Source organism: Homo sapiens, chromosome 5, assembly GCF_000001405.40.
Source record: "Homo sapiens chromosome 5, GRCh38.p14 Primary Assembly".
Classification (NCBI taxonomy): domain Eukaryota; kingdom Metazoa; phylum Chordata; class Mammalia; order Primates; family Hominidae; genus Homo; species Homo sapiens.
The window spans coordinates 167979226-167995740 of NC_000005.10; the positions used below are offsets into that span (position 1 = coordinate 167979226).

General features: G+C 42.7%; 1 protein-coding gene across 33 annotated transcripts in view, besides 1 other annotated feature; it reads left to right on the plus strand.

The window, feature by feature from the left end:
- Positions 1 to 16515, plus strand: part of TENM2 (teneurin transmembrane protein 2) — a 1285129-nt gene that overhangs the window by 1000197 nt on the left and 268417 nt on the right. For all 33 annotated transcript variants that reach the window (XM_047417418.1, NM_001395460.1, XM_017009661.2 and 30 more), the window contains one exon: positions 13719 to 13957. In XM_047417418.1, the coding sequence (XP_047273374.1) occupies positions 13719 to 13957 (239 nt within the window). The remainder of the gene's footprint in view (positions 1 to 13718; positions 13958 to 16515) is intronic.
- Positions 14537 to 15038: an enhancer, noted in NCBI's record as "H3K27ac hESC enhancer chr5:167420767-167421268 (GRCh37/hg19 assembly coordinates)". NCBI's record gives its function as "activates a minimal SCP1, AML or CMV promoter by ChIP-STARR-seq in primed H9 embryonic stem cells {active_cell/tissue: H9 hESC(primed)}" and the evidence as "EXISTENCE:reporter gene assay evidence [ECO:0000049][PMID:30033119]".

A 16515-nucleotide genomic window follows, 5' to 3' on the forward strand; every position in this document is an offset into this window, starting at 1 on the left:
CTAAATGGATTCTTCTCTAGGTGGAGGGGGATCAACATAGGATTTTTCCAAGATTAAAACCATTCTATCATATTCTATTAAAAGTGATTTAGAAGAGAAAAATGCACCATGAAATCTCCATGTTTGCAGAGATACCAAACCTAGGAAGATAAACTGCTCTGTAGGTGGGCAGAGAGGTGACAGATAAGGATCACGTACATTTACCAAAAATTCTTCTAGACTTATAGGAAGATTATCTCTGAGGTCCCAGTTACAAACTGGGAACTGGCCAGGTGATTCGTGTGAAGTAATGCCTGAAGATATACATCCACTGGGTTGCTGTGGGAAGAAAGAAGGGGATAGGGCTGCAAAATACAGAGCATCCCTATAGAAACTCTTAGAAATTAATCAAAAATGCATTATCCCACGATTTTCCAAAATCATTAGGTATCTACAGTGGAAATAATCATGATTATAGCTGATATCCCTCAAGAATGACAGAAAACTTGAGGAGAATTCCAATCTAAAAGATCAATAAAATGAAGAGGCTCTCACAAAACACACCAAAGTGCTCCTTTGAATAGAAGGAAGATGACTTCACAACAGATTTTAAAAAATAACCGTGTGTAGGAATAATACGAACATGATGTTGTTTATCGAAATCTTGAAAACCAGAGTGACGGGATTCCTTGAAAAGGACACTACCGGGAAAATAAATAAAAGTGTTGCATCTGAGAGCAGAGAGAAACTTTTTACATTCATCACCTCCTACAGGCAGTATGAGATGATCTTTCAAGATCTTTTCAAGCTCTATATTGGTTCATGCCTTTATTCATTAAATAAAAATTGTTGGAACACCAAACCTGGGCTGGGCATTCTTCCAGGGGCTGGAGATACAATGGTGAGGAAGAAGATGAAATCCTGGCCCTCCTGGAATGTGCATGCCATTGGGAAAGGCATGTGACAAACAAGGAATGAAGGAGATAGCTGCCCAAGGTGATGCATGTTAAATGAGATATCTCAATGAAGGGTGAGGGAAATGGGCCTTTGTATTCCACCCCCATCTCTGGATGTTGACTGTTCTCAGCTGTAACCTTGGACAAGGTAGGATGCAAGATGCTACGATGGGAAAGGCTGATCAAGAAATCCTTTCTGAGGAAGTGAGCTTTGAGGAGAGACTTGAAAGACCTGAGAAAGAGGAGCCATGCAATGAGAAGACAGAAAGAGAGGAGGAGAGAAGTTTCCAGACTGAGGGAAACACAGTGTGACCACCTGGACATGGGGAGGAGCTTGGCCTCTTTAAGGAACAGCAAAGAGGATGGCAGGTGCCTTAGGAGCAGAGCACGGAGAGGTTAGGAAGAGATGACCTCGACCATCACAAGACGCCTTATAGGCCATGATGCAGAGCAGGATAACTTCTAAGTGTAAAGGAATGGGAAGATTTGAAATATGTTTTGATTTATGTTTGTAGGAAATGACTGACTCCTGTGGGGAGAAGGGGTGTAATGGGTAAAGTGGAAAGAGGGAGACCTCTTTAAAGATTGCTGTGTGCAGCAGGCCAGGCGCAAGATGATGTAGAGGTGTGAGTGGTAAGAAAAGGAAGGGGATGTGTTGGAGGCAAAGAGGAAATCAACTGATGATGGATTGGGTGTGAGAGAAGGACAGGAACCATGGTGAAGCCTAGTGAAGTAGATGGCATGGTGCCCACCCAGATGTCACCCTTCAGGACTGGAGCAGGTGTCCTTCCAGTTGCTGGTAATGTTGGCAGCCAACAGAGCTCAGCCAAGTCCCTCCCTGAGATTGGCCTTCAGCAGAAGAGATCCACGTCTTCCAAGGACCTTTCTCTGGGAACAGCTCACATCCAGTGACTGGTCCGAGTAAGGATATGAAGGCCCAGCCTCCTTTGCCCTAACTGGAACAACTCAGCAGAGCCATCCCTGCTCCAGAGCTTTCCATGGAATCGCCATAGGCCCCTCTGCCACAGCATCACAGTTCAGCTCCCCGCCATCCCCACCCAGGGCAGTCTGCTTCATTCACTTCCTCACACATGGTCTTCCCAAGAGCACTTTCTAATACACTTCCTGCATGCAATATCTTCCCATTCCTAGGGATGGCTCCTGCACAACTGGAGAAGTGATGACATCTGTAACTGATATAGGTGAAGCCTGGAAGAGAAGAGAAGCTTGGAGTGGAAATCAAAAGTTGTGTTTTGGTCATGCTAAACTTGAGATGCCTAACTATATCCAAATGTAGATAGGGTAATAGGTGTAATATTGTGGGCTGGCTAGAATATTCTGGACAAAAACCAAAACCCTCAAGGCAGAGGTATAAGAAGACAGCTGAGCTCTTTCATCACAAAGGCCTGTGCTGAATTCCCCATGAGTCTCTCCTACCCTAGTAATTTTTCAGATAGAATGCTCCTAAATGTGCTTTGCTAACTCAAAGAGATGGCATAGTTAGAACCCTTCGTACTTGGTCTAAAATCCAGATCCCCTTGGCCAGGCATGGTGGCTCATGCCTTTAATGCCAGCACTTTGGGACGGCAGATCACCTGAGGTCAGGAGTTCAAGACCAGCTTTGCCAACATGGCAAAACTTCGTCTCTACTAAAAATACAAAAATTAGGCAGGCGTGGTGGCGTGCACCTGTAATCCCAGCTACTAGGGAGGCTGAGGCAGGAGAATTGCTTGAACCTGGGAGGCGGAGGTTGCCATGAGCTGACATCACACCACTGCACTCCAGCCTGGGCAACAAGAGTGAAGCTCTGTTTCAGACCAAAAAAAAAAAAAAAAGAAAAAAGAAAAAAAGAAAATCCAGATCCCATGCCTTCAAGCCATGGTTACTGGCTACCTTTTCTTCCTGCCACTGGCCCGGAACACACTGCCCTTCTTTCACATCCTCAAAAATTCCGTCTTTCCCACCCCAGGGACTTTGCACAGGCTGCTCCTGCTGCCTGGGATGCTCTTTTTTACCATTCTTCATATGGTCAGTTACTTCTTATCCTCAGACTTCTCCTCAATCCCATGGTGCTTCTGACATTTTGAAAGTATTTCATGTATTTATTGTTTACCTGGATGTGAGTTCTGTTTATTTGTTCTGTCTCTCCAATTGGAAATTTCCTATGAGGATAAGAACTTACTCATCAATGCATCCAAGCATCTAGTACCATGTGATATATATTCCATGCTCAATAAATACTGGCTGGGCAGTGATTTCATATTTGAGATATTGTGTTCATTGCAGAGGTGGAGGCAATGCAGTACATACATATATTAAACACTTCCTGTGGGCCCGCTTCTGTGTTCTCGGATTGTATTCCTGTTCTTTTTCAGCCCTTCCAATAGTTCTGGGATGTAAATATTGCTATTGTCTCTATTTTTTTAGAGGAGGCATCTGAGGACCAGGGAGAATACCTAGCTTTCCCCACATCATGCAGCTCCTGGAGGAGTTGAGATTTGAGTCCAGGTGCACCTGGCTCCAAGCCCATTCATTTTCCCCTCTACCATAATTAGTGAATTCCTTCAGCAGACTTTTTGAGCACCTACTATGAAGAGGGAAGGGTACCAGAAAGCAAAAGAGAGAGAGCCTGACTTTGTAATTTGACTTAAGAAACAAGACAAAAACAAATGTAATCACATGAAGCAGAATAACCTAGAGGGTCCTTCCAGCTTGAACACTGTCTAACTGTCTGAATGGTCCAGACACTAAATGCAATGGGAGAAATTATCCTGCTCCTTGGCTGTGTCTGAGGGTGTGCATTTTTTCTTCATCTACCTCTACCTGCCGGTGAACACAAATTTAAGTCCATTCGAAATGGCTGTCTGGACACTCCCATATGATAGTGCATAGCGAATTCAAGGTCAAATCTAAAGTCAAAGTCAGACGTCTTTGTTTTTCTTCCCCTACTATATCAAGACTCTTACCAATTAACTTGAAAAAAGTCACCAAGTTAACAACTCCAGAGGGGGAAAAAGAAGAAGAAAAAAAAAAAAGACTCTTCATCTCATCCAAAGACTCTGAAATGGATTTGCTCACAAAACACCAGGTTTCTTTAATGACCTCGAGAGACCTTGCCTGTCACACTGAGCAGTATATCATTTCATGGAGGAAAAAAAAAGTTTTACCATGAAAAATGCTATGTTGTATCACAGTGTGACACTATTTAAATATCAAGAGTCGAAGCTTCTATTTAGAAAACGGAAGGCAATAAATTGAGTTGCTAATTATTCCAGCTGTGAATATTTTTGGTACGGCTGCAAATTTTGAAGAGGGCAAAATAGAGGATTTTCCTGTTGTTCACGGCATATGCAAATGTAGTGGCAGTCCCCTATGAGCCGAAAGGTTCAGGGATGAGAAACCTTGAAAGCCTATTTTTTTCCTGAATCAAACGGGCTTGAGTCGAAGCTTAGGGAACTATGATATAAAATGGACTTTTGACTACACTAATTGGGTTATTGGCTTCTTGTTTTTCAAACCTGAGAAGTAACGATTTTAAAAACTGTAAGTCCTATTTTAAAGGAAACAATTCACTTCTCAACCTAAGCATAAATTCTCAACTGGAAGAAGAGAAGAAGCACATTAGTAACATCCCTAGTCCCTTCTCTTCCTAGGGGACAGTGAGTGGAGGTGCCTGCAATTCTCCAATCACCAGGCTAATTAGAACGACTCATTCATTCAACACATATTTTAAATCAGCTGGGCACTATGCTCGGTCAAGGAGATTTAGTAATGGCTAAAATATACTATACACGGCTCCTGCCCTCAAGCCATTAATATCTGCATTTATTGACCATTCACTGGATGTCAATCTCAATGCTAAGCATTTCACGAATAAACTCACCCAATCCCCCTAACAAGCCCAAGAAGTAGCTACTATCATTCTCAGCCTCCTAGCAAGGTTAAGTAACTTGCCCAAGATCACACAGTGATAAATATAGAAGCCAGGATGCAAACCCTGGTTGTCTCAGTCTAGGATTTGCAGACTTAAAACTGCCTTCTAGGTACCATCCTATTGGATTTCTTAAATAATTAAATGAATAATAATCATGATGATGACAATGAGGAAATGTTTCTATGTAGAAAAAGAAGGCTGACTACAAACATCAGATGTTTACCAGTCTATCTCTAAAGTACAGGAGATGTTTACTTTCTATTTTTAAAATGTATATACTTGACCCAGTGCAGTGGCTCATGCCCGTAATTCTAGCACTTTGGGAGACTGAGGATGGTGGATCACGAGGTCAGGAGTTTGAGACCAGCCTAGCCAACATGGTGAAACCCCGTCTCTACTAAAAATACAAAAATTAGCCTGGCGTGGTGGCACATGCTTGTAACCCCAGCTACTTGGGAGGCTGAGGCAGGAGACTCACTTGAACTGGGAGGTGGAGGTTGCAGTGAGTGGAGATCAAGCCACTGCACTCCAGCCTGGACAACAAAGCAAGACTTTGTCTTGGGGGAAAAAAAAATTATATGCTTGTTTTTTTTGTAATGTGTGCATGTTATATTTGCAAACAGGAAAATAAAGACAGAACGCTTAAGCGATCACCTAGTTTTGCTACTCAAGTAGGGCTCAGTGGTGCAGTATCCATCATTTTTCTCGTTATCTCTTTTTTCACCTCATCCTCTATGCTTCTCTCCTTCTGTTTTTGCTTTCTCTCCACGTTCCATGTCTCTGTCTCTGTCTGTCTCAGGACCCTGCCCCTTGAATTTTGCCTCAACCAGCACCATTCCTTTTCATATCGGAGAGTATATTAATGGTGCCAGAAAGGGTGGTGGTTATTTAACCTCTCTCCAGCTAAATGTTTCATTATAACTCCTGAAAACCTAATTACAGTAACTTTACATGCTACAGTACCCTTTATGGGCTGCCTCTTTATTAAACTTACTCTTTTAGAGACAATAAACCTGATGCTTCAAAGTGCATGGCCAGAACCAGTGAAATGTAATGAAATCTGGAGTTCTCTAGTGCACACCTGATCTCCCTCACTGAGCACCACAGCCCCATTCCTGGGGTGTTTCTGCCTCTATCCTTCCCCTAGCTTTTGATCAAATTTCAGACACTGCTTGTATGATAGTCTGAATATTTTAGGGATTAATGGGCTGTGTATCAATGTTTTCATCCGCTCCTCTGAATACCCATGAGTTTATTTACTGGGGAGGTCAATTTTCTCGGTAGAACAACAGTCGACACCTGGTTTCCCTGATAACCAGAGTTGCTTTTTTGCACACAGCGCTACGTTGAGACCATTTAAGACTTTTGCTGTATTTCAAAAACGTTTGCTGCCGCAGACTTCGTGAGCAAAGAACAACATGTCAGTCTGCTCTGTTAGTCATTAGTTGTCCTGGTTAGCTGAGTGGTACACTGTGATGAGATTGTGGGATACGGGGTGAGAGAGAGAGAGGAAGAGAGAAACAGGAAAAAAGGCATTGACCTTTGGAGTTGAGGCAGCACAATTATTTGTATAGTACATTTCTTTTCACAGCCCTGCTAGGATTTTCCCCTGGGAATAAAGCCAAAACAACAGAAAATAAGGGGATCCCCCTGGTTGCAAGCTGCAAAATGGTACTTAGTGTTAAGGAATTTTATGTATTTGTTTGTTTGTTTCTTTGGTGGGATTTAAGGTTAATGACTAAGTTTACTTGTGATTGACTCAGAGAAAAGGGAAAAACAAGAAAAAGAAAAGAAATCTTTTGTTGGAGCCTCAGGTAGCTTAGCCAGCCTCCGCTTCTCAAAGCTACCACTCTAGATTAGTCAAGCTCCTTCTGTATCATAAGAATAAAATAAAAATTCACAGCCTTTTGAATTGGTGGGGGCTCTTGTTGCATGGATGTTATGAATGAGGTTTTTTTGTTTGTTAGGTTTCTTTTTAAAATCTTTCATGGTTGTTTAATCAGAGACAATGCATGCCCTTAATTTTCTAAGCCAATTTGAAGCAGAAGCCTGGTTAACCAAGATTCTGCCTGAAATCCATGTCTTTGCTGTCACGTAAAGGATACAGGAGAATGGCTGTTCAGCTTTTAGGTATGCTTCTCAGTTTTTATTAAATGGTTTTGTTTTCACATGAGGAAAAGTGATGACATTTACCAAAAAGGTTGATAGTTTAGGGTGAAGTGATGATCCCTGTATTCTTAAGAAGTCACAGGAATGCAGGACACAGAGCTGAGAACGCAGAACCTTTGCCTTACTATTCCATCCCAAGCCCCTAACCTGTGCCTGACAGAATGCTGGGTGCTGTGACCAAAGCTCCCATCCCCCGCATGACATGACTGGGAAGGGAAAGAAGTGTGTGAGCTCCTCTTTTATTTTTTGTAAGACATCAAGGACTGGTTTTCTCCATCTCTTGGAGTGTTAGCAAACTCCAAGGATGGCACTTTGGGGGCCCCTCATTTGCCTTTCCTTTCGGAGGCACAAGTGGCCAATTCTGAGAGCAATTGAGTTGTGCTTGAAAAACGTCAAGTGCATTTGGAAACTACACATTTTTGCTGATGCCTGGAGTCCCGAGCTGAGCTACTTCCATGACCGACCGCTGGGAAGAAGTTCAGTTGGGGCATCACAAATGATTCATCTGAACACACTGAGCAGGCCTCTGAAGGGGAGAAGCTGTCTTAACAGCCGGTTCAGGGAAAAATCAGGAGAAGTCCCCTAAGCCCTCTTGGTCCTCCCTGTGACCATCTGGCCAAACCATTACCTTGTGGGTCTTGCTTCATTTTATTTGATTTTCCAGCAGCATGTGACTGAAATCCTTGGGTGAATCAAAGCTTGAGGTTTTTTCAACTTTTTGTTATGAAAAATTTCAAACATACAAAAAACTTGGAAGAATAGTACCATGTAAGAATAACCACCTGGTTTCAACGATTGCTATCATTTTGCCACATTTGCCTTATCTGTTTTTATAGAGCTTGAGAGATGAGATCTTTTTGCTGAATCTTTTGAAATGAAGTTGCAGACTTCATGAAACTTCACCTAAAGACGCCCACATCCAAAGCTTACATTAAAAAATATATATCTACTAACAATCTGGTATGTCCTCTTCAAGTAAGATGCATTTGGAAGGGCATAAAAGTGATTCAGGTAGAATTTCTTAAATGTTAATGTACACTAGAATCAGCTAGGGAGCTTCTTCGCTTCCTTTTTTTTTTTTTAGTTGGAGTTTCCTTCTTGTTGCCCAGGCTGGAGCGCAATGGCACGGTCTCAGCTCACTGCAACCTCTGCCTCCTGGGTTCAAGTGATTCTCCTGCCTCTGCCTCCCAAGTAGGTGGGATTACAGGTGCCCACCACCACACCTGGCTACTTTTTTTGTATTTTTAATAGAGATGGGGTTTGGCCAGGCTGGTCTCGAACCCCTGACCTCAAATGATTCGCCTGCCTCGGCCTCCCAAAGTCCTGGGATTACAGGCATGAGCCACCATGCCCAGCCACTAGGGAGCTTCTTAATCGATATACTCCCAGACTCCACCCCATACCTGGATAGGGCCCAGGATTTTGTACTGTTTTTAACACTGAGTGCCGCGTTAAAAACAGTACAAATTCCTGGGACCAGGCGATCACTTGAGTGCTGTGTTAAAAACAGTACAAATTCCAGGTATTCATGGGACACAGTCTGAAGATCACTTCTATCGAATCTTTCTCTTTTTGTTTGCTGAATTTAATCTTCTAAAGATTAGTGACACCAGGGTGTAACTGTATCATGGGAGAAATAGGATTCTACTTATCGTTGGTTTTTTGTTTAATCATTTTAAACCCCAGAGACTAGAAGGAAGGGAGGTGATAACTAAATGGGTTTCTTTCAGCTGCAATCATCACAGACACCACAGTGCCAATGAGCGGCCTGAGAGCTACATCCTGCGAGGGTTTATGCAGTGCTGAAAAGCATGCAGGTTGTTTTTTCTGTGGAGGGATCTGGCCTTGCATGTGTAAATATAGACTCTTGCCTGCATGTACATATGCAAACTTGTAAATCTGTTTGGCAAACAGGCATCAACACGGCAGGAGGAGCCTATTTTAAAATTAAAAATGTTCACAGCACTATTCTTTTAGCATTCATTATTTTGGTCTTGGAAAAGGTTGTAAGTTATTTATTTAACAACGATTTGTTGAGTTCCCCCACTGTAAGCCAGGCTCTATTTTAGGTGACAGGATGCGGCGTGAACAAAATAATTATTTTAAACTTTATTGAAATTCAGTTCTAACGATGGGGACAGACAATAAGTAATATGCAAATATACATATGCATTTAATGAAGAAAAATAGGCAGTTATGACAGGGCAGAGAGTAACAGAAATTGAAGGGGCCCAGGAAGATCTCTCTGAAAAAGTGCTATGAGAGCAGAGATTGAAGGAACAAGTTGTGCAGATATTTCCAGGCAGAAGGAACAGTAAGTGCAAAGGCCCGGAGGCAAGAAGATGTGATATGATGGGCAATAGCAAAAGGATAATATGATGGATGGAGTGAGGGAGGACAACAGAGGTGGAAGCTTCAGTGGGAGAGGTAGCCAGAGGGCAGATCATGCAGAGAGTTGAAGGCCATGAGAAAGACACCTGATTTTATTCTCAATATTATTAGAAGCCTTTGTCAGGGAGAAAGGGCGCTTTGTTTGATGACATGTGACCTAAGCTGACTTTATTTTTAGAAGAAAGTGTAGAAAATGGACTAAATTGTCAAGGGAACATTTTTAGGATTTCACGAAGCAGTGCCATATGCAAGATATAATCATATCCATTTTTCGTATAAATGAGTGTATTAAAAATAACATTAAAGCCAATTTAAACTTCTTATCTTTACCGTGTTGCTCTCATGTTGCTAAAACATTTCTATTTTCAAGTTATTTATTCTGTCCACAAATATGACTGATGTCCAGGCACTAATGTTTCGACTCTGGAGATAACAGGAGTAAGGAATATCTACCAGTTCAAGTGTCCAGGAGTTCACATTCTGGTTGGGGATAGACACATTTAAAATAATTATATATAGAAAGAGATTAATAACACCAGGATATAACTGTATCATGGGAGAAATAAGATTCTATTTATAAATAGAATGTAGATAGATAGATAGAAGATAGAGAAAGAGAGAGAGAGAGAGAGAGAGAGAGAGAGAGATAGATAGATTTGTGAGTGCACAAAATGAAGGGGGCTGTGTTAGAATAGATTCCCCAGGTAGGTGGTTGGAAGGTGGATAGGAGTTAGCTAGGATGGGTTAGGTGGGACAGAGAAGAAAAAGCCATTTGATTCAATTGAACGGGCTTGTTAAGACAAAGTGTGTCTTTTTGTGTGGCTGAAGCGTGAGTGCATAGGAGCTGGGAGCACTGATTAGAAACAAGGGTCAAAAAATGGGTAGAGAGCCATGGTTCCATGTTGTAGAGAGCTTGGTTCCATGTTGAAACTTAGGTCTCATCTTTCAGGCATGGAAGGATAACCACGGATTTGCAAGCCAGAGCACACTGGCACTGTGGCTTGGGAAGGAAAAGGCAGGAAGGCTAAAGGACGGGGTTGGTGGGTAAGGTTTTCAGAAATGAAATTGTTGGGATTCATTAAGCTATTGGATGGGGAAAGGCAAGGGAAAAGGAGGAAGTTCCTTGGGTAACTGGGAGTAAAGGAAGTCCAGGAGGGGTGGAGTTGGGCATGTAAAGGAATATAGTCTGAGTTTGGTTGTGACTTGTTCCAGACAGCTGTGAAATGTAGAAGACAAGCTGCCCAATGCACAACGGGATGTGGGTCAGGAGCTAAGGAGTCATGAGCTAGATAGAAATGGAGCTTTGGAGACTCCAGACCCATCAGTGGTGGCTGAAGACCTAGAAATTGGCAAGATCACTGAGGATGCGAGAACTGGAGTTCAAATGTTTTCACTCATTAGTGACTCCTTACAATGCCTTTACGTTCCTTTGTTTTCATTTGATTTCCTATTTTCACTACTCACTCTGGGAGAATCATTTAAGAAATAAATTCGGAGGACTCCTAAATCAAATTCCGAGGTTTCTCTGTCACCCTGGCTTTCTGCTGTGGATATGTTCTAGCGTTGTTATAAGGCAGCAGACTATTATTTAGTGACTTAGAGAACTCTTCAGGTGTTTGTTCAACATTTGTCAAGCTTTAAATTAAAATCTGCATTTCAGGCTCCTTATGTAGCTCTGAAGAATTAATAATAAAAGCTACTCACATGGGCTGACACTTACTATGGGACACACCTTGGTTAAGTTCTTTTGCTACGTAATCCTGCATGATATTGTAGGATTAGTGATGCTTTTCCTACACAGTGTTGCAATCCTCACAGCAAGCAGTTATGAGGTACCTGTACTTTTATTACCTCTGTTTTACAAATGAAGAGATGGAGGTTCTCAAAAGCAGTGTCAGGTACTTGTCAGAAATGGCACGACCAGGACTACCAAGGTCTGTCTTGTGCTACAATGCTGTCATGAACACCATGCCTAGCTTCCTCTTCCAAAACACCATTTTAAAATGGAGCATTAAAAAAGAGCCATTGGACAAGGAGTCCAAAGCCTTATTTATGGAATCAAACTTCTAGGCTTTATTTTAACATTAGCTGTGTTAAATAATTCACTAATCAGATACTCATTTTCTGACATGATTGTCAGTCATATTGGGTTTGTTTGATCTCTGTGAAGGATTAAAATACTTTCAAGGTTTTATCTGCAAACAGCCAAGATACAAATATTTGTAATGATAGCAATCCTGCCTTAGAAGCCCACTGGGAAAGCCTGCTAGCCCCCAGAGGCAAGGCAGTGTGGTGTAGTAGGTCTGATTAGAGCTTCCAAAGGGTCTAACTGGATGTAAATAAAAAAATTTTTTAAGTCAGGCAGACTGGAGCTTGAGCCCTAATGACCCGCTTGCCAACTCCCAGCGTCAGTTTTCTCATCTGTAAAACTGAGGTAATAATAGTACCCACCTGGTGGGATTAATGTGAGGTTTAGTTGCAAGTAAAACATTCAGCATTGTAACTGACACATTGTGAGTGGTCAATAAACTAAGTAGCACCTACTGAAGACATCAAGAGAAAGGAAATAACTGTAGTAACATTTTGAAACCTTAGAATTGCAGCTGAGTAAAATTGCAAGACAATGAGAGGACTTCATTCATTCACTCATTCATTCACTAAAATCCCCCTCTGCATGTTGGGCTTGATGTGGGTACTGGGAACATAGGACGAACAAGGTACAAAATAAGACATAGTCCATGGCCTCCAGCTGCTCAGATTCTAGCATTTACTTAACTCCTGCCTTAAATCCCACTACACATTTCCTGGAAGACAAGTCATCGTTTTAAACAAGGTCTAGCAAGTCACATTTGAAGTCTTGTAAGTGGCATGTATAAGAAAGAATCATCAGAGAATTAATGGTCCTTCCTTAAAGTGCCCTTGGAGCGACAGACTCCCGACCCTGAGGAGGAGCTATATCCTCTTCTACACTGCCTGTTCTACTGTATGGTTCTGCTGTGTGGTTGTCACACCACAGCTCTGGCTAACACGGACACCTTATTCAATTGATAGGCAAAGATGATTCCAAAGAAATAATCATGATCACATGACCTTGGAGAAGGCATCTCAGAACAGGAATCAGGATTTCACGGGAGGTGAAAACGGAACAAGGGTCAGAGACAGTGTAGGGTAAAATGTCAGTACACAGGTTTTATCGAAAGACAGAGCTCTGGGTTTCAGTCCTCAGACAGTTGCTTGGCTTCTCAAAGGCTAATATCTCCAATCTAAAATGGAGAGATTCTGCCATAAAAATGGAATGAAATAATGGCTTTTGCAGCAACTTGGATGGAGCTGGAGGCCATTGTTCTAAGTGAAGTAACTCAGGAACGGAAAACCAAACATCATATGTTCTCACTTATAAGTGGGAGCTAAGCTATGAGGATGCAAAGGCATAAGAATAATATAATAAACTTTGGGGACTTGGAAGGAACGGTGGAGGGGGCGAGGAATAAAAGACTACATATTAGGTATAGTGGACACTGCTCTGATGACAGGTGGACCAAAATCTCAGAAATCACCACTAAAGAACTTGTTCATGTAATCAGAAAACACCTGTACCCCCAAAACTATTGAAATTAAAAAAAAGAATATATCTGGATTACAGAAAGAAAAAATTAAAAATTTTAAAAAATAATGAAATGAAATCGAGATATTAAAATATTTAGTTTGTAAATAGTTGTGACAATACATTTCAAGTACCTTTCAATAGTAGGTATCTAGCTCTATCCATGTTCCTGCAAAGGACACCATCTCATTATTTTCATGGTTGCATAATATTCCACGGTGTATGTATAGCACATTATCTTTACCTGGGTGACAAAATAATCTGTACATCAAATGCCAGTGACACGAGTATACCTATATAACAAACTGCACATGTACCATGAACCCAAAATAAAAGTTTTTTTAAAAAATAGTAGGTATCTAATATGTGATAACACTTAGCATCCTCAACCTCATCATCTCTGAGGAGGTGACAGTCATTCAGTTTCCATATTTGCTTTGAATGCTTTGCAGGTTGTTGTGGAAGATAACAACTAGATGCATATGTGAAAGGAGCAAATTATGCACATTTATGGAATTAATTTATGTCATCATCGAATGTAATGTTCGCCCCTTCTTCCACTCCAGGGTAAGCTTAGTTAACTAGGATTATGCTAGGACTAGATAGAGCAGAGTGGAAGAAAAATAGCTAAATGTTGCTCCTTGGCTACCCATGACCACTCTGACTCTTTCCCTTTTCCTGGCAGGCACTTCCTCTTCAAGACCTCCTCGGGGAGCACACCCTTGTTCAGCAGCTCTTCCCCGGGATACCCTTTGACCTCAGGAACGGTTTACACGCCCCCGCCCCGCCTGCTGCCCAGGAATACTTTCTCCAGGAAGGCTTTCAAGCTGAAGAAGCCCTCCAAATACTGCAGCTGGAAATGTGCTGCCCTCTCCGCCATTGCCGCGGCCCTCCTCTTGGCTATTTTGCTGGCGTATTTCATAGGTAAGTCAGGGCAGCCTTATTCAGCAACGCTGGGGATGACAACATGAGGGGAGAGGCCATGGACTTGTGAATCTAGAGGCCCTCTGATGTCTGTACAGTTTGCTTCTTTGCTCCTGAAAGATGTGATAATGAGTGATGGATGGAGGTGATTTTTTCCCTCCTGAAATCCACTTAAATCTGATGAGTTTCTCCTTCATGTTTCTAAATGACATCCATCAGAAGGGAAATTAAGCATCCTTACTATATCCTTTCTTGGAGATGAGCTGAGACTTTTCATTCCCGCAAACCTATCCCTCACTCTCAGAGTGGCCTTCTAGTTTTCTCCATCCTTGGATTTTAACCCAGGTCTGTGCTTTGAAATGTATGCAACATTGGTTAACTTCAGCCAAAAACTGAATTGAAGAATAGTGGTTGGCATGTCTGAGAACATCTTGATTCGAGAGAAAGCCAAAGTAGCTAGCTTATTTTCAGAGCTGTGGAACAGAAACAGGACTGACAGGCTGGAGCATCCATCCAGGTCTTTATACAGAATCGAATTAGCCAGACACACTTGGCCTTGCCCATATCCCTTCCACAGCCTCTGTCTTCTCATCCTCAACTCTCTCCTCACCATGGACAGCTGAATCTGAATCAGGGTCACCTCTCCTGGCAACTGGGCTTCTGGTGACTCAGTGTATGACATAGGTGAAGTTGCTGGAGTATCTTTCTCTGCATGCCAAAGGTGTTGGTTTACAGCCATAGGGTGTAGCCGTGTCACCACAGAAAGTGGCAGATGCTGAGCGCCCAGGGGCAGGGTGCCACGTGCATAAGAGCTTCTCAGGCTGCACACAAAGCCTGCTCACAGCTCCTGGCCCCAACAAAGAGCCCCAAGGCTGCTGCTCTGTCAGTTAAGCCTGCCAAAGGCAGATCTCCTGGCTTAGGAAGAGGCCATGGTGATGTTTGTTAAAGTTTATTTGAAACACTTGATGCTTGTGGCTTGGTTTCAGGGCAGCTATGAGAGACCTGCCCAGTTTGGCTGTGCCATGTTGCAAAGCAAACCCATAAAGCACCAGCTCAATGAAGCTGACTCCAAAACAGTTCCCAACACGTATGCTGAAACTCCTCCCATTTAAGAGAAAAGAAAAGGCAACCCTGACTGTGTTGGCCTTGCCCCTTCCCTCAACATAAACCCTCCCTTCTCGCTCAGCACTGGGGGCTCCCACACTTCCTTCATCCCCAGGCAGCAAGCATGGTATCTGCCAAAGAAGGAACTGGCCCAGCGCTTCCCAGACCATTCTCCTAAGCTTGCCTGATGGCAAAGGGGCATGACTGTGCACCCCCACAGATCTGGGGCCCTGCCTAAGGCAGACCAATATGAGCCAACAATTGACATAAATTTTTCAGCTTCTTCCACACTATAGCTGTTCTTGTCTTAATATGGAAAAATAAGCATTTATATTCCTTACCAGTTGCATTTCTCAGGAATGCCCTCCCAAAGTGAGAAAACTGACTCTCCAGGGAAAGGTGCCGTGTTCATCTGGGGCTTTGCAGAAGTGTAGCTTGCACTCTAAACCACAGCTGTACACGGGAACTGAGGCCTGAGACCCAAGCACCCCTAATTTCGAGTCATGTCTGCTTCTCACTTACCTCTTGATGAAGGATGAAGTAATGGATTGACCTCAGAAAGGCGGAAGGATATCTGTTGCCCCTCTGAATCTCTTGAGTACATCTTAGTGTGTTGCTAAAGTAGCTTTGTGTGCTTCTGCAGGTGGCTGTTCAGGGGGCTCCGTGGAAGCAAATTGAATGTGCCTTCGGGGTCTTTTCATGATTTGGTTTTGTGTCAGAAACTTCAGAAGGGGTTCCTGTGCTCACTTCTCAGGCTTAATGTTCTGCGGGGCCAGTGAGCACCACGGGGCCAGTGAGCACCACGGGGAGCCCAGATACAGAAATTGAGGTACTGCCTGCCTCTGCCAATACCGTCCCAGTGCGCCTTCTACTCTACTTCCAGGAGAGAGACAGATGGCTCCTGCCTGATTTATGGGGCTTGATAGTTAAAGTAGAATAGCTTCCTGTAAGGGCAGTCATATACATGGGAAACCGTATAGTGAGAGTTTAATGTTTTAATCAGGTATGTAACTTGTAAATGATAGATTAGGAAATATATTTATTTTCAATCTGCAGGCTGCTAGAAGCTGGACCTGAGCATCTTAGCATCGTTTATTAGTTCATAATCCATCATTTCCTATTATGTATTCTTTAGGTAAGATTATGCTTTGACCCTAGAGTATCAAAAAATAGTTTATGACACAAAATGAGTGATATAATGGGCCAATTTACCCTGCAGTGATGGCAGTGAGCATGCAGCTATAGGGCTACTCTCAGCCACTCTCCCGAGGTGACCGCAGGTCTGCAAGCGTGGTAAGGGGTCAGGATCTGAAGTGCTGATCTTGGCCCCAGTTATTCCTTTCTCCTTAGCCTTGACAAACTTGTTTGCCTTCTGGGTCTTGGTTTCCTAAGTACAACATGGGGGCAGGATGGTTATTTACGTGCAGAAACTCAGAAGTATGGTGAGGATTAAT